The following is a 17,451-nucleotide window of genomic DNA, read 5'->3' on the forward strand; positions in this document are numbered from 1 at the left end:
CAGGGTGACACACAGCCCAGTAGTGGCGGGCGGGCGCCCAGGCTGCCACCGCGCTGAGGACCGGCCCCTCTGCCAGCCGGGAGGTGCGCGTGGCCTAGGCGGGGGCGCCCTCTGGCGGCCGCGGGTTCCAATCCCTGCCGGCCTCGCAGGCGTGGGGCAGGACAGCCGCGCTCTCGCCAGGGCCCAGAGCCCCACTTTGCCAAGGAGCTGTCGCTGGAGCGGTGACTTTGTTCAGGGCCGAGAACCGGAGGAGGAGGCCAGACTTGCTGCTGGGCAGCTGGCACATGGGACATGGGGTGTTATGACTCCAGCATTTATGGAGCGCCTGCTGTGTGCTCTGCAGGTATAGTCCCATGACCACCCCCCGAGCATGGGGTTATCTCATTCTTTTTTTTGGGGGCGGGGGGGACGGAGTCTCTCTCTGTCGCCCAGGCTGGAGTGCAGCAGCGCGATCTCGGCTCACTGCAACCTCCGCCTCCCAGGTTCAAGCGACTCTCCTGCCTCAGCCTCCTGAGTAGCTGGGATTACAGGTAGGCACCACCACGCTAATTTTTGTATTTTTAGTAGAGGTTTCACCATGTTGGTCAGGCTGGTCTCGAACTCCTAACCTCATGATCCACCTCCCTCAGCCTCCCAAAGGGGTTATCTCATGCTATGGATGAGGCCCTGAGGCTCAGAGACCCGTCTGACTCTAAAGCCACCCATTAGGACTGACCCCAGACAGCCCCTTAATAGCCACTGGGTTCCACTGTGGCCAGGGGAGTGTGGCATGAGGCAAAAGGGACCATTTCCCCTCTGAAACATGAGCTGAACTAGATCAGTGTTTTGCCAGCATTCAGGTCCACCTTGCAGCATGTGCAGGACGCACCTATCACCCGTGTTCATATTCACATCCTAACGCCAGGCCTACACAGTACTGACCATGGGCACCACCTGACCGCTGTCAGCTTATTTGAGGATCACACCAACAACCACGCTCTTGTTAGAAATTAATATGACCCCGTTTTATGAATGGAAAATGGAGGCTCAGAGCAGCTGAGCACCTTTCCACAGTCACACAGCCAGGTGGCGTCAAATCCAGCAACCCAACCCTGGCCACCGGCTCCCGGCCTCTGCGAGGTGGAGCTTCCAGCTAATCCAGCTCCACTCTGCTCAAGCCATTTTTCTTTTTTTTTTTTTTAAAGAAATGAGGTTCACTATGTTGCCTCGACTAGTCTTGGTTCCGGTACTCAAGCTGAGTATGGGAATTAAAAGCATGAGCCACCACCCAGGCCTATATTCTTTTTTACAATTTATCCCTAAACGAAACTTTGTATCTCTGACATAAGTGGAAAATCACTTTCACATGGCTAAATACAGGTAGCTGTAAAAATCAAATACAATTTATGGCCAGTGCTGTGGCTCACACGTGTAATCCCAGCACTTTGGGACGCTGAGGCGGAAGGGCCACTCGAGCCCAGGAGTTTGAGACCAGCCTGGGCAGCATAGTGAGACTTCATCTCTTAAAAAAGAAAAAAATAAATCAAATACAATTTACATCAAATAAAGTGATCCAGTTCTGACCAGAGAGAATGGTCAGCAGAGAGTCTGGCATTCTAGACAGGGTTCCATTTCCATTGAAGAGGTTTCTGTGTTACAAGCAAGTGAACTGGTGGGACACTGCCTGGTTTTCTCCTGAATCCCACCCCACTGCGGCACAGATCTCACTCCCCATACCCCAGCAGCACCTCCTCCCAATCCCCAGCCTCTCCACTGCAACATGAAGCATGGAAGAAAGATGAAGGTGTGTGTGTCACTCGCTGTAGAGTGCTGAGAGACGCAGGGAAGACAGAGGCATAGGTGTCCGTAATTGGGGTGCAGGTGGTGAGACACGGGGAAGATGGTGGTGTGGGTGTCCATCTCTGCTGTGAGGTAGAGGGCAGACCCCATGTAGATCTAGGGTCATGAGTTAGCCTTGATATATGAGTGGTGACTTACATGACAACTGAAACCAGTGCCATGGTCTGAATGCATTTATCCCCCCAAAATGTACCTGTTGATGTCCTAATTCCATAGTGATGGTATCAGGATGTGGGGCCTTTTGGGGGTGACTAGGCCATGAAGGAGGAGTGCTCATAATTGGGCTCCAAGCCCTGATAGCAGAGCACTGGCTCGGCACGCCAACTTCTGCCTGCGAGGACACAGTGAGGACACCGGCAGGCTGCATCCCGGAAGACAGCCCTCTGCAGAGCCCGCCCCTGCTGCCACTCTCATCTTGGAGTTACCACCCTCCTGAACTGTGAAAAAGGAATGTGTGTTGTTCTAAGTACCCCGATTGTTGTTATTTGTTATCACAACCTGAACAGACTAAGACAGGCAGCATGAGCATGTGCTCTTGATCGACATGGACACAGATAAATGAAAACCCACCACACATTCCCCAGGGTGTACACACACCTGTCCCCATGCGTCTCACACAAGATGCGCTGGAGGTAGGAAAGGGGAGGGAAATTGGGGCTGGGAAGCAGGAAGACGCAGCGAGCCCAGAGGGCATGGTGCCCTGATCTGATGAAAAAGATAAAAATAGAACGAACTAGAATCAAATGCCCCGCATAGGGCCCGGCCAATTCTAACCCTCAAGCCCCCCACACCCAGCTGTGGACCCTGGGACAGCCACTGTATTATCTGCGCCTCTGCCTGTCCACTGGGGGCCCTGCGGGCAGGACTGCTGTGTTGCCTCTGTGCCTGGCCCATGGATGTCTGACTATGGGTCTCTGTAAACACGGGGGCAATGTCCCCAGTCCCTCAGAGCAGCCACACCAGATGGGCCTTCCAGACTGGCTCTGTCAAGACCTGAAATTCCCAAGTCCTTAAAAGGCTGCAAATCCTCCCCCCACTCCACAAAGACAACACACAAATAAATCATAACTGCTGTGTCCTAAGCACATCGTGTGTGCCTGGATTTTACACACATATTTGTCATCTTCACAACGTAAGTAATATTTGGTCCATTCTTTGAATGGGGAAACAGGCAGAAAGAACTTAAATGACTTGCCTCAAAGTTACCCAGCTGGCACAAGCAGGGTTCAGGTCCAGCTAGGCCTGATCCCACCTTCTGCCCTCTTCTGACAGCCCCAGGCTGCCTCCCACCACACACAACACACACACACATGCATGCACACACACATGCACTTGCACAGCCACATGACATGTGCAAGGACACACACATATACATATACACAGACACACACATGCATACACAGAGACACACAGACACACACACACATGGGTCACAGCCCAAAATAACACCTTCCTGGAGCTAACGCCTCTCCTTCCCCCTCACCCCGAGTGTGTATGGATTCCTCCAGCCCAAGCCTCCCTCCCCAAATCACCCCTCTCTAGCCCTGTCAGATTCAGAAGGATCTCCTCCTCAGGTCAGCCTCCATCTCTGACAAATCCCCCCACCCCATCCTCTGGTCCTGCTCCCCCAGGGCTCCCAGCACCTGGCCCAGTGGACCAGCTGCAGGCCACACCTCTCTACTGGTGGAGAGGGAAACCCTGGGCTCTCGGGTAGAGCTGCGGGTGCTGGTGGTGGGTGGCCATGCCTTCGTCCATGTCCATCCAACATGCACTCCCTGTGTGCCTGGACCCCACTCCCTCTCCTCCAGGCCTTTGTGCCATGCACAAGCTCCAGGCCTGGGGCCCCATCCTGATGGAGAGAAGTGGTCAGGAAAGTGGGCAGGCCTCAGGGCTTCAAGCCAGGCCCCAAGAGGCAGAGGGGAGAGTGACAGGACCTGGAGCTGAGACTTAGGAACGTGACAGGTGGCCAGTGTGGTGGCTCATGCCTGTAATTCCAGCACTTTGAGAGGCTGAGGTGGGTGGATCGCTTAAGCCCAGGAGTTCAAGACCAGCCTGGACGATATAGCAAGACCCCATTTCTACTATTTAAAAAATATGTATATAATTTTTTTTCTTTTTTTTTCCAGAGTCTCGCTCTGTCGCCCAGGCTGGAGTGCAGTGGTGCAATCTCAGCTCGCTGCAACCTCCACCTCCTGCGTTCAATCGATTCTCCTGCCTCAGCCTCCCAAGTAGCTGGGACTATAGGCGCATGCCACCACGCCCACTAATTTTTGTATTTTTAGTAGAGACAGGGTTTCACCATGTTAGCCAGGATGGTTTCGATCTCCTGACCTCGTGATCCGCCCGCCTGGTCCTCTCAAAGTGCTGGGATTACAGGCGTGAGCCACCACACCTAGCCTATATTTAAATTTTTTTAAAGAAAACAGACAGGTGCTCTCCAGAGCAGCAGCGCGTGGTAGCACAGAGCGGCAGGGTGCACTCACCGTGTGAGCACACCACGCAGAGTGTTTCTGCACGCACGTGTGCCCCAGAGCAGCCTGTGTGCCTCTGCATGCCTCTGGGAGTCTGTGCACTTGTGCATGAAGGGGAGAGTCTGTGAGAAAGGATGGGTAGTGCAGAAGGCGAGAACACAGGCTCTGAGACCGGCACGCCAGGCTCACATGCTGTGCAAGTTCCCTCACTGGTGACAGTGGCAGCCAGAGCCGCACCTGGCAGAGCGTGAACGGGCTCCTTATCATTTCCACTCTGCAGGCATCTCTGTGGGCTGCACAAGGTCCCTGTGGCGGGGACTCTGCCCACTCCCGACTGTATCCCCAGGGCCAGGGACATGGCGAGTGCACGTATCTGGCATGTGTGAATCTGCCTAGCGCCGTGTGTGCACCTGCGTGTGTTCACTCGTGTGTGCATGTCTGTGAGCCTCGGTGACAGTCACAGGTGTGAGAGTGGCATGCGCACATCTGAGCATTGGAAGAGCTGCATGTGTGTGCCCATGTGCCTTCTGCGCACCCCCCAGGAGGGTAAACATGAGACGGAGACAGACAGAAGGCCCCACCCTGCTAGCACAGGTCACAGGGGTCAGGAAGGATCCACATTGCATCACAGCACCCCCAGCGTTCACTGACAAGGCAACCATGAGACCCGCCGTAGGGACCTCATACCTGCCTCATCCCAGCACTGTGGAGGAACAGGAATTTGGAAAAATAAAATAAAAACAAAAATCTGTGCTTCCTCCCTCCCTCCACTGAGGCTGCTTCTGGGACTCTGCCTGCACTAACTGGCCCCAGAATCCCAGCTCATCAATGCTAGAAGGCCCTTGGACATCTGTCATTGTGCAGTAAGACTTGAGGCCCAGAGAGGTCAGGGACTTGCCCAAGTTCACACAGGTGCCGGCTGCAGAGAGGGACCTGTCCCAGGTCTGTCTGTCTCAGCGAGGGCTGGCTTCTCCCTCCACACCTAGGGCTCCAACCCAATAGGTGGTTCAGACTGCTGAGACCTCGATCTGCAGTCTGAACCAATGAATAAATGGACATTTATAAAGAAAGCACTTTGTAAACAGCTACTCTTAGTTCAAATCAAAGCATTATACTTGTCACCCTGGTATCTGTCAAAGGAAGAGACTCCTGCTCCTTGAGCCGGTGCTGCGCCAGGGGCTTTCCCAGGCAGCATACCTCTGAGCTCCTTCCAGTCCTGATATCGTTATGGTCCTCATTCTCCAGGTGAGCAATGTGAGGCTCAGAGAAGAGAAACAGAAAGCCCGGAGGCTTGAGTGGGTCAGACACCCATCAGGAGCTTGGCATGAGTATGACAGCTCCTTGACGCAAAGTCTAGGGGGCATGAGTGCTGGGGCCATTGCAGGCACCAGGACCCAAGCCTAGGGGAGAGGAAGCTGGAAGCTGAGAAGCTGGAGCGCTCTAGAGGGCAGGTATGCATGAGACCTGACTTGCAGGCAGGAGGTCCTGCAGCCACCAGAGGCCTGGATGGGGTGAGGAAGAGGCCAAGAGAAAAGAGGCTGAAGGATTTATGGCCACCCAGCCCACACCCTGCTACACCACCCTGCCCAGCTCTCAGCTGTCCTGGGTCTCAGCTCAGGAGTCTCCTCTAAGGGATGCCCTCCTGACCCTCCAGACTACATCCATTTATCATATCACCCATTTTATTTCCTTCATAGCATTTATCACTATCATATTGCTGGTGCCCAAAACAGTGCCCACTACAAAGTGGATTTTTCTTTGGTGTGTGTTTGTATAGTTTGTTTGTTTGTTTTTAGCCATTCAGATTGCATTTATTTGTAACAATACGCATGCAGCCCTCCCTCTGGTCTTCCAGTCCCTGTCCCTCCCAGGGCAGCGCCCTTTCCTGAACACTCCTGTCTACCCTCGGAGTTGCTGACTTTTAGAAATCATAATGAGGCCGGATGCAGTGGCTCATGCCTGTAATCCCAGCACTTTGGGAGGCCGAGGTGGGTGGATCACCTGAGGTCAGGAGTTCAAGACCAGGCTGGCCAACATGGTGAAACCCCGTCTCTACTAAAAATACAAAAATTAGTCAGGCATGATGGTGGGTGCCTGTAATCCCAGCTACTTGGGAGGCTGAGGTGGGAGAATCCCTTGAACCTGGGAGACGGTGGTTGCAGTGAGCCCAGATCACGCCACTGCACCCGGGCAAGATCAGCCTGGGTGGCTGAGCAAGACTCTGTCTCAAAAAGAAAAAAAGAAAGAAAAAAAAAGAAATAACAATGAGCACCCATTTTTCTGTTACTAGCTTTCCTACTCACCTTTGAAAAAGGCAAAAACCTCAACAATGCATAAACCACACATAAGAAGGCAAATTCACAAGGAAAAATGACCAACCTCATCCATTATTTAAAAATGGCAAATAGGCCAGGCATGGTGCTTCATGCCTATAATCTCAGCACTTCAGGAGGCCAAGGCAGGTGGATCACTTGAGCCCAGGAGTTTGAGACCAGCCTGAGCAACACAGCAAAACCCCGTCTCTACAAAAAATACAAAAATTGTTTTTGTTTTCAAGACAGGGTTTCTCTCTGTCACCCAGGCTGGAGTGCAGTGGTGTGATCATAGCTCACTGCAGCCTCAACCTCCTGGGTTCAAATGATCCTCCCAACTCAGCCTCCCAAAGTGTTGGGAGGACATTTATAAAGTCCACTGCACTCAGTTGAAGATATTTGTTGAATGAATGGATGTGCTGCCTCTGTTTAAACTCTGCTGAAATAGAGCACCCAGTGTAGGGAGGCAAACAGTCCATTCCACTTCAGAAAGCAGTGTCCAGTAGTGTAAGGTAGGGACATCTCAGCCCACCTGGAGAATAGGGAAGGCTGCCCAGGAGGCGAAGCTTGAACAGGTCTTTGCTGATCTCCTCAGTGCTAATGAAGGCACAGTCTCTCAGGGCTCTCCCATGAGATCACTGCCTTAAGCCCTCAATCCCACCCAATCCTGCTCTACTGGGATCTATTCACTGGCCCCTTCTCTCCTGGATCTTCAGCCTTTATGTCCCTGTTACCTCCTTCCTTCCCATCAGCATTTGAACAGGCTCCTGTCCTTCCCACTGCTACAGACTGAATGTCTGCATCCCCCCAGAATTCTTATGTTGAAACCTAACCCCCAATGTGAAGCATTAGAGGGTGGCACCTTTGTGAGGTGATTAGGCCATGAGGGTAGAGCCTTCATGAATGGACATTAGTGCCCTTATAAGATACATCCGAGAGTTCCCTCATCTCTGCCACCATGTGAGGACACGAGAAGGTGCTATCTTTGAACCAAGCAGCAGGACCTCTCAACACCAAATCTGCCGGTGCCTTGATCTTGGACTTCCCAGCCTCCAGAACTGTAAGAAGCAAATTTCTATTTATAGCTACCCAGTCTATGGTATTTTGTTATAGCAGCCTTAACAGACTGAGACACTCGTCTTAAATCTTTCTGGATTCTATCCCCTGAGTGGAAGTCAAAAAAGGAGTCTGGGCTCCTCCCTCCCCACCAACCCCCACAAGCAAATCCTTCAGATGCTGCGATGGACCCTCCTGATGGCCCTACCTTCTGACTTGCCTTTCCTGATGCCCAGCACTTCTGCTGTCTGCTCCCTTCTGTGTCCCCTGCATTTAGTCCTGGGCCTGTCACACCACATATGGAACTAAGGGCCTGATGGAAGCTGAGACCCTAAAGGGCTGGGCTGGGGGCACCATGAAGGGGTTGGCCATGGTAGGGGACAGGCTGCATCATTCAGCTTTCGCTTCAGGTCTAGCCCAGTTTGAAGGTTCTCTCTTCCCTCCCTGTCATCTCCCACACCTGCCCAGGCAGGTGACAAAGCAGTCCCCAGATCCCAGGCCACCAGCCCCAGAACCAGGCCAGAGTCCCAGAGTCAGGCCCAGCTTCAAAATGGCGCCAGGCCTCATCCAAAGCATCAGGCCTTTGCAGAGGGCCCTGGGGTACACTCGGGGGCATTTCCTGTCTGAGCCTGCGGCCCCCAACCGCTGGCAGCATGGGCTTCCGGCGGGGCTGCGGCCGGGGCCTGCACTATCAGCTCGGCACCAGACGCCCGGTCAGGATACTTGTGGTGAAACTGTGAGGGCGCACTGGGTCCTTTGGGGTTTTCTCCCATGACAGCCTCCAAGACAAATGGAAGAGAGAAAGTGACACCCAGCCCTTCTTCAGCCGTGTTTTCCCCTCCCTGAGCCAGGGTCCAGGTTCAAGGCTGGGGGACTGCCATGAGGCCACCTATGACTACAGGGACATCCCAAAGCTGCAGCCATGGAAGCAGCCAGGGCCAGGCCACTAGGGTCAGGCATCTTGGCCAAGGCTGGACAAAAGGCACTGTGGCCTGGGGATCTGAATGGGAGTGGGAGTGGGTGGGCCACTCCTATACGGCCACATGAGGGCCACAGAGAAAGTACGCTGGGTCTGAGACTGAGAGGTGTCAGGTGTCTGGGGCATGTCACCTTGCGCCAAGGGATGCCCAGCCTGAACCTGGCTTTACACCTAGGGCCCCACTTCACCTCCTCCCTGAGATTTACAAGGGGGAAACTGAGGCCCTGTTTACTACTGGGGAAACCGAGGATCAGGGAAGCGCAGGGCTGCGCGTGGCGTAGGGCGCTCTGTCCCAGCAACCAAAGGATGTAAGCCCGTAGGTGGGGAGGGCAGCACCGGATGCCCCACTGGGCCCAGGGATGCACCCACCACAGGATGCTGGGGGAGCCACCGGCCTTGGCCAGCCCAGCTAGCCCTGTGGCTTTCCAGGGCAGCTGAGAGCCCAGGTCCCCATGGCTAAGCCCCTCAGCAGCCCAGTGGTCCTGAGCCCGCCGACCCCAGACCCAGTCCTAGTCCGGCCAGAGGAGGCCGTTTACGAGCCCACACCCGTAGGTGGCGCCACAGCCGGAGAATTGGCTTTGGTTCTGTTGGAGCCGCGCCGCCTTTAAATTAGCCCCACGCATGCGCGACTTTTCTAGCCCGAGCCCGCCGTCTGCGCCTGCGATTTCGCCCATACTCCCCGGTGCCCGCCTCGTGACGTGCCGCAGTGTTACGAAGGGACACCAGGGCGCAGGCGCAGCTCGCTCCTCAGGCCTGCGAGAGGCCCGCCGGCCCAGCAGAGGGCGCCCACCAATCTGCACGCGGGCCCAGCGAGTTATCTTGATTTCGGCCAAGCTTTCTGACTGCTCCAAAAAACGAAGAAAAAGATTCAGGGAGAGTAAGAGGATGAAGAGAGCTGGTGAAGCAGCTGACCAAATGGCCCGAGGTGGTATGCAGCCGCGGTAAAGCAGGGCCCCTCCGTGAGGCACAGCCGCCCGGGGGTTCCCTAGGGGAAGCAGGGGCTGCGGCAGACGCCTCTCGGGCAGGTCAGGGTATGCACCCTCCCGCAGGGGCTCCCAAGGCCGGGCGTGCGTGAGGCCAGGTCCACGGGCACACCACTGTGAACACTGATTAAACGTGGCCTCCACGGCTTCCAACCCCCAGGACAGGACCAACCCTCTGCCCCCGGCTCAGGCCAGAGCTCGGCGAGACCGTCGCTGTTTAACAAGCATTTGCTATACGCCACCTTGCATTATGACAGCATGTGACCCACACAGCCATCCTAGGAAGCAGGTAACAGCCCTACTCCATTTTGCACGGAAAGACTTGCCTGAGGTCACAGAGAGCGGCAGGCCTGGGATTTCCATCCAGGGATCCGACTGCAGAGCACGACTCTGGAGGGTCTTCCTTCTTGCTCCTCCCATCCTTCCACTGTCCTTGGATCCCCCATTTTCCCCCTGCACAATCTCCTAATCCCTATGTTCAACTTCTCATTTTCAACTGGATCTTTCCCAATGGCATTCAACACACTTGGTGTCCCCAACCTTAGAGTAGAACATTCAAGCAGCACAGCCTCCTGAAGGCCCTCACTCATCCCTTTCCCAGCCTGTTTGCGAAATGCTTTGTCAGGACTCAAAGTTAAGTCTCACTTCCGTCCAATTCCCATCCCCACACCAACACAGTTCTCAAGTCACCAATGGGTAAAAGGCTTCAGTGATCCACTCCTACAGCCAAAAGGCACTGCTCGGTCTCTTCAGCCTCAGATGGTTCACTCCTGGAAACATTTTTCCACTTGGCTTCATGACACCACAGTCCTGGTCTTTCTCGTCCCAGGTAAGGAGAGTCCTGGTCTTTGTCAACCCAGGTGGCCACTATTACTTTGTCGTCTTAATATTCAGTTCTGGATCTCTTCTTATTCTATACCCTTCCTAGGCACTGTCCCCTCCCACAGCCTCCTTCTCACCTTTTCCATAACCATGTCTAGGCCCGGCAGCCCCACATTTACCACTTGCACACCAGACCTTATAATTCCAGGCCTGAATATCCACCTGCCCAGGGACACTCCCACTTGGATGTCCCGAGCACCTCCATTTTGCCATGTCTGAAACAGAATTCAGCATCAGTTCCTCACAACTGGTCTTCTACAGACTTCCCCAGTAATCCCTCAACCCACCTGCCAATATTTAAGCTGTTTGTAAGCCACTCATGCAAACATTCAATAACCCAACTACGTGTCATAGATTGGTCTGAACACCTAGCTGTTAACATAAAGATGAGCATAAAAGACAAAACCCCTGCCCTATTGAAGCTAGTTCAGTAATCACACACATTCCAACCGTGGTATATGAGGTGGAGAAGAGGTACAAAGGAAAACGAGAGGGTACCACAGGACTTGACTGAGTGTGGCAGGCCACGGATGGCTCCCTGACACAGTAACCTTAAGTAACACATCCTGAGGCTGAGCAGGAATTCATTAGGTGGAGACAGGGAGCGAACTCCTGCAGAGAGGAAAGAGGGGCAGAAAGCCTGGCACTCACTGGCACTGTCGATTCCCCACATGACCTTTCAATCCCTTGCCTCTTGAGAGGAACCATCTCTGCTTTGCTCATCACTGTTTCCTTGATGCTGAGTAAAACATGACTCACAGGAAGGATGCAAAAACTACAAAAATGGAGGCCTCACTCCACTACTCCATTCTGTGACATAAGCCACGTCAACTCTTTCAACACTCTGGCACCACTTTCAACACTCTGGTACTAGAATAACTCAGTGTTCTAATATGTAAAATGTAAATGCTTGCCTTGCAAACCTGCTGAGAAGCAAATCCATTATTTAATGAATAAAAAGCACTTGATAAAAGCACTATTCCCAAAATTAAGAATTAAATTATGAGAGATCTTCAACAGACCAAAAACAAATGTTCACAGTCCCTGCTTTATTTCCATTTGTTCACACACGCTTTAAAAAAAAAAAAAAAAACACATGCACTCACACAATACCCAAACATCAGAATTAGAAGGGCATAAAACAGGGGGCTTTATAGGCTGAAAAATATCTTAGACTTCAGAACAGAATACCAATCAAATATTGAAAATTCCTTTGTTCAAAACACAAAGATGTTTTGTTTTTAATGGGAGTTTTTTTAAAGTTTTCTTTTTTTAAAAAAAAAAAAAAAGAAAGTTAAGGACAAACGGCAAACTCACACTGCCTGACGCAGGGCCTGGTTTCTCTTCCTTGAAGGCCTTTTACAGATGTCAGCTTTCACTGGCCTCCATGCACAACCTCCCACTACCACCCAATCTGCCTGCCACAGCAAAGTGCAGGCACCCTGGGCCCCCTGGAGGATGCGGGCAGGGGCTACAGGGCATCCAGGATGTGGTCGATCTTGGTGACCAGCTCCTGGCGCTTTCCTGAGATGAGCTTCTCATTCTCAATGTACGTGTCTTTCTTGAGCTTGCCAGCCACCAGGCGCTCAGCCTCCACCGCCGACTTCAGCACCAGCTCCTTGACCTGTGCATCCAGCTTCTGCATTTCGCTCACCTGGCCGAGGCAAGAGCAGGGCAGGACTTGTGAGCTGTCCTCCCACCCCACTCAGCAGGCCCCACCATCTCCCAGGCCTACAGACCCCAGAGCTCCACAGGTATCAGCCACAAATGCAGCCAACAGCACAGTGTCCCAGGGCAGCAGGGCTGGCTATGGAGGAAGATAGGCCTGGCTTCAAATGCCAACTTCACCACCCACAAGCCCCGTTCTTACGCCCTTGTGAACAAGCCCTGCACCATCCCTGGGCCTCATCTCCATTCTAGGACTCTGAGGACTGAGTATGAAACTACTTGGCAGCACCTATCATGCCCCTGGCACATAGCAGCTCCTCTATGAACATCACTTCTCTCCTTGCAGCTTGTCAAATCAGTTCCAGGGATTCAATTAGGCAAAAGATCAATGGCAAGGGAAGGGGGGGTGACAGGCATTGTCACCTACTGTACGTCACATTGAGGACTGGTATAGTCACATTCATTCAACATTCAACAAATGTTTAGTGAGCCATGGCGCGCGGCACAATTCTAGGTTCCAGAAAACAGCACTAAGGACAGATAAGGGATCTTGTCCACAGATGCTGACATATAATTAACACTTAAGTAGAAGAATAAATCGTTTCAGAAAGTGGTAGGCGTGGGCCAGACACGGTGGCTCACATCTGTAATTCCAGTACTTTGGAGGCCAAGGCAGGCAGAACACTTGGGCTCAGGAGTTCAAGACCAGCCTGGGCAACATGGCGAAACCCCATCTCTACAAAAAATTAGCCAGGCATGGTGGTGTGCACCTGTGATCCCAGCTACTTGAGGTGGAAGGATCGCTTGAGCCTGGAGGTGGGGCTTGCAGTGAGCAGAGATTGCGCCACTACACTCCAGCATGGGCGACAGAGTGAAACCCTGTCTCAAAAACAAACAACAAAAAAAGTGGTAGGTGCTATGAGGAAATTCACACAGAGTGAGGAGAGGGAATGCCAGGGAGTGGACAGGGGAGTCAGTGACTCTGAGGGGCACCTCTGCGAAAAGGTTACTGTCCTCATTTACAGATAACTCCTTTACATAGCTTGTATCAGGACAGGGTTCTGAATATTTTGCATGCATTAACTCATTTCACACTCAGAACCCCTATGAGGGGCTAACAGCATTCCCATTTTATAGATGAGGAAACTGAGGCACAGAAGTTAGGTGACTTGGCCAGGTTTACAAACTCTGAATCAGAGCCTGGATTCAAACCTATTGATTCTAAAGTCTAGGTTCATTTTACCACAACATAAGCAGCCTGGGACCTAGAACAGTCTGGCCTCCAGGAGAGGATGCAGCTACTCTCAATACTGGCCACAAGGGCACGCAGTGCTGACGAGGCTAGCAGAGCTTCCTCCACACCCAGCTCACACCAGGACCCCAAAAATCCCTTTTTCCTCCACAAGGACTGGCACCACATGAAAAGTTATGGCCAGATGCAGTCTTATCCCACAAGCATGCAGGTAAGCAAGAGAGCTGCCCAGTGTCTGCCCTAGACAAAGCAGTGAGGCATGGAGGGCCCCAAGCCAAGCAACTCTGTGACGCCCGACACTTACTCTGTCGCACAGATCAGAGCCCTCTGTCTTCAGCCTGGACTGCAGCAGTGCAATCTCACTGGTCAAGGCCTTGTGTTCAGTCTCCAGGCTCTTCTTGCCACTGTTGAGGGTGGAGATGTCCCGGGATTGCTTGTACCTATTGACGGTCTCGTCAAAGTGACGGTAAAGGCCTATTCTCTTGTTGACCAGGGTCAAGACCTGCTCTGTGATGCAGGCTACCTTCATCCTGGCTTCTGCGGCTGGATCCTGAAGGAAGGAGAGGCACCATGTGTGACAACATCCAGGCTTGGGTCCACTCTGACCTTATCTCCCAAAGAACATCTGCCACCAGCAGCCATCCAAAAATGAAATGCCACCTTCTTGGAAAGTCAAAGTCAAACCCCTACTGATACCTAATCTGGACCAGGTTCAGCAATGGGCAAAACTAGGGCCATAAAGATGAGCAGACCAGCCGGGCCTGGTGGCTCACGCCTGTAATCCCAGCACTTTGGGAGGCCAAGGTGGGCAGATCACGAGGTCAGGAGTTCAAGACCAGCCTGACCAATATGGTGACATCCCATCTCTACTAAAAATAGAAAAAAAAATTAGCCGGGCATGGTGGCAGGCACCTGTAATCTCAGCTACTCAGGAGGCTGAGGCAGGAGAATCACCTGAACCCAGGAGGCGGAGGTTGCAGTGAGCCGAGATCGCACCACTGCACTCCAGCCTGGGCGACAGAGCGAAACTCCATCTCAAAAAAAAAAAAAAAAAGATGAAGCAGACATTTCACTTCACAGTCCAGTAAGGCAGACAGATAGATGTGAACAAGGATGATAATGTCAGTGTGCCCTGCATATATATTACAGCAGTCTTGCCCATTTAATCAGCAGGAAACATTAGATAAACCAAAATTAAGGGACATTCTATAAAACTGGTCTCTACAACACCACAAATGTCAAGGTTATTAAACACAAAGAAAGGACCAGGAATGGTGGGTCACACCTATAATCCCCACACTTTGGGCAGCTGAGGCAGGAGGATCACTTGAGGTCAGGCGTTCAAGACCAGCCTGGGTAACATAATGAGACTCCGTCTCTACAAAAAAATATTTTGGCCAGGTGCAGTGGCTCACACCTGTAATCCCAACATTGTAGAAGGCCGAGGCAGGCAGATTGCTTGAGTCCAGGAGTTCGAGACCAGCCTAGCCAACATGGCAAAACCCCATCTCTAATAAAAATACAGAAAATTAGCCGGGCATGGTGGTGCATGCTTGTAGTCCCAGCTACTCAGGGAGCTGAGATGGTAGGATCTCTTTAGCCCAGGAGGTCGAGGCTGCAGTGAGCCCTGATCGTGCCACTGCACTCCAGCCTGGGTAACAGAGTGAGACTCTGTCTCGAGAAAAAAAACATTTTTTTAATTAGCTGGGCATGATGGTATGCTCCTGTAGTCCCAAACTACTTGGGAGGATGAGGTGGGAGGATGGCTTGAGCCCAGGAGTTTGAGGCTGCAGTGAGCTGTGATTGATCGGGGGACAGTCAGCAAAATTATGGACTGGATGTTGGTCAACAGTACTAATTAACTGGCCAGTTAATAGTATTAACTAACTAATGGACAATTACATTACCCATTCTTTGAGGAAGAAGGCACAGAAGGCAGAACACACCACAAAGTTCTGAACGTGCTGTTCTACCAGATTTTTGGCAACATTACATTTCCTGAATTTGATCATTGTATTATGATTATGTAAGAGAATACCCTTGCTCTCAGGCTACACACATGCTCAACTATTCAAGGGTAAAGGGGCACAACGTCTGCAACTTAACCTCCAATGATTCAGCAGAAATAATTACACACACACACACGCACACACACACACACACAGTTATTCCTCGAGCCCCCGCCCCCCCGCATCTCCGACTATCTGCACATACTCAAGTCCTGTAGTCAGCCCTGTGAAACCCAAGTATACAAAAAGTCAGCCCTCCACATATTTGGTTTCAGTTCCCTCAAACACTGTATTGAGTACTGTATTTCCTATCTGCATTTGATTATAAAAATCTGACCAGGCACGGTGTCTCATGCCTGTAATCCCAGCACTTTGGGAGGCCGAGGCGGGTGGATCACGAGGTCAGGAGATTGAGACCATCCTAACACGGTGAAACCCCGTCTCTACTAAAAATACAAAAAATTAGCCGGGCGTGGTGGCACGTACCTGTAGTCCCAGCTATTCGAGAGGCCAAGGCAGGAGAATTGCTCGAACCCAGGAGGCGGAGGTTGCAGCAAGCTGAGAGCGCACCACTGCACTCCAGCCTGGGCAACAGAGCAAGACTCCGTCTCAGGAAAAAAAAAAAAGAAAACGAAAAGAAAAAAATCTGCATATAAGTGGACCCACACAGTTCGGCTGGATCAACATCTTTGCTCACAGGTCCTACCAAAACCCCTCCCTGCTGTCTCACAAACATCAGCCCCTCCAACTGAATGCCCTTCCCCACCTTCTTTGCCTGTCACCTCCTCAGGGTAGCCTTGGGGCCTCCCAAGTTGCCCCACTAGAAGCACACCCTTGGTGCGCACCTGTGGTCCCAGCTACACAGGAGGCTGAGGCAGAATCGCTCGAACCCGGGAGGCAGAGGTTGCAGTGAATGGAGATCGCGCCACTGCACTCCAGCATGGCAACAGAGCGAGACTCCATCTCAAAAAAAAAAACACACGCTGTGCCTGTCATCACATTCCACAGTCCTCAAGCACCAGCTGTGCTCATCTCCTCCACCAGGCCTCACCCACCTGACTACAATAAGTGCCTGGTACTAGTGCCTACCCTGGGGCATGGAGCCAAGAGCCCTAAGGAACAATGAGAGAATGAGAAATGGAGGAAGGAAGGAAGAAAAGAGCAAGAGGATGACCTGAGGATAACAGCAGTGCAGCCTGGGGAGGACCAAGGAGCCACGGAGCCTGTCAGGGAGCAGAGAGTGGGAGTGGGGAGAACGGTGCTGACAGGGCCAGGTCAGTGGTTTCTGCTCCCAACAAGGAATCACCAAGGGGGAGGTGGGGAGGGAGAGGGGACTAAGAGGGGACTTCCACCTCCAAGTTCCACTGAATAACAAGAAGCAAAACAGCTAAATAAGCACCAATCTTTTCATGTTTTTCCTACCTCAACTGAGCATCCAAGTTACTCTGTCTCCAGAGCCAAAGCAAGACAGAAGCAGGGACTTAACCTCCTGTGCTAGTGACCACAAGCAACAAAAACAAAGTACCCTTCCGGCAAGGATGAGCACAGGCAGGGGTCTTTTGGCCATGGCGTCCTGCCCTGGGCTCACTGTGAGGATCAGTGCTCAAGCTGGTGAAATATTACCAAGGACACAAATGACAAGCAGGAAGAAGGCAGAGACGGTACCTTGGTGATGGAGAAGTCCAGCCGAACATAGATGATAACGGTGAAGAACAGGATGTAGAAGGCCGCCACCACCAGCAGGGGCTCCTGCAGCATGAGCACCTTGTTGAACGTGTAGTGGACCTGGGAGAAGCAAGAGGACAGGCTTCATCGGGGCTGTAGGGACATGGGAGCCTAGACTCACCCAGGCTGGCCCACTCGACCTGCTGCCCCACCCCAAGACCAGAAGACGCCATGAGCTCAAATGACTCCAGCCCAAGGAGGGACAGAAGGTGAGTTCTTGGCCCCCAGAGCCCACTGTCTGGGGAAGACGCCATGGAAGGCAAACAGTGGAGCCA

The 17,451-nt window shown here is 52.5% G+C and overlaps 1 protein-coding gene across 1 annotated transcript in view, besides 6 other annotated features; it reads right to left on the reverse strand.

The window, feature by feature from the left end:
* Positions 1 to 200: a silencer, noted in NCBI's record as "silent region_14708". NCBI's record gives its function as "represses an Ori minimal core promoter by ATAC-STARR-seq in GM12878 lymphoblastoid cells {active_cell/tissue: GM12878}" and the evidence as "EXISTENCE:reporter gene assay evidence [ECO:0000049][PMID:35858748]".
* Positions 211 to 390: an enhancer, noted in NCBI's record as "active region_20484". NCBI's record gives its function as "activates an Ori minimal core promoter by ATAC-STARR-seq in GM12878 lymphoblastoid cells {active_cell/tissue: GM12878}" and the evidence as "EXISTENCE:reporter gene assay evidence [ECO:0000049][PMID:35858748]".
* Positions 9,403 to 9,692: an enhancer, noted in NCBI's record as "active region_20485". NCBI's record gives its function as "activates an Ori minimal core promoter by ATAC-STARR-seq in GM12878 lymphoblastoid cells {active_cell/tissue: GM12878}" and the evidence as "EXISTENCE:reporter gene assay evidence [ECO:0000049][PMID:35858748]".
* Positions 9,403 to 9,997: a biological region, named in NCBI's record as "H3K27ac hESC enhancer GRCh37_chr3:128336746-128337257".
* Positions 9,486 to 9,997: an enhancer, noted in NCBI's record as "H3K27ac hESC enhancer chr3:128336746-128337257 (GRCh37/hg19 assembly coordinates)". NCBI's record gives its function as "activates a minimal SCP1, AML or CMV promoter by ChIP-STARR-seq in primed H9 embryonic stem cells {active_cell/tissue: H9 hESC(primed)}" and the evidence as "EXISTENCE:reporter gene assay evidence [ECO:0000049][PMID:30033119]".
* Positions 9,713 to 9,762: an enhancer, noted in NCBI's record as "active region_20486". NCBI's record gives its function as "activates an Ori minimal core promoter by ATAC-STARR-seq in GM12878 lymphoblastoid cells {active_cell/tissue: GM12878}" and the evidence as "EXISTENCE:reporter gene assay evidence [ECO:0000049][PMID:35858748]".
* The window catches only part of RPN1 (ribophorin I), a 30,850-nt gene continuing 24,950 nt past the window's right edge, over positions 11,552 to 17,451 (reverse strand). The window contains exons 8-10 of the mRNA NM_002950.4: positions 17,117 to 17,236; positions 13,747 to 13,992; positions 11,552 to 12,176 (exon numbers count right to left, since the gene is read on the reverse strand). Of these exons, the coding sequence (NP_002941.1) occupies positions 11,994 to 12,176; positions 13,747 to 13,992; positions 17,117 to 17,236 (549 nt within the window). The 3' untranslated portion in view covers positions 11,552 to 11,993. The remainder of the gene's footprint in view (positions 12,177 to 13,746; positions 13,993 to 17,116; positions 17,237 to 17,451) is intronic.

This window comes from Homo sapiens, chromosome 3, assembly GCF_000001405.40.
Source record: "Homo sapiens chromosome 3, GRCh38.p14 Primary Assembly".
NCBI lineage: Eukaryota > Metazoa > Chordata > Mammalia > Primates > Hominidae > Homo > Homo sapiens.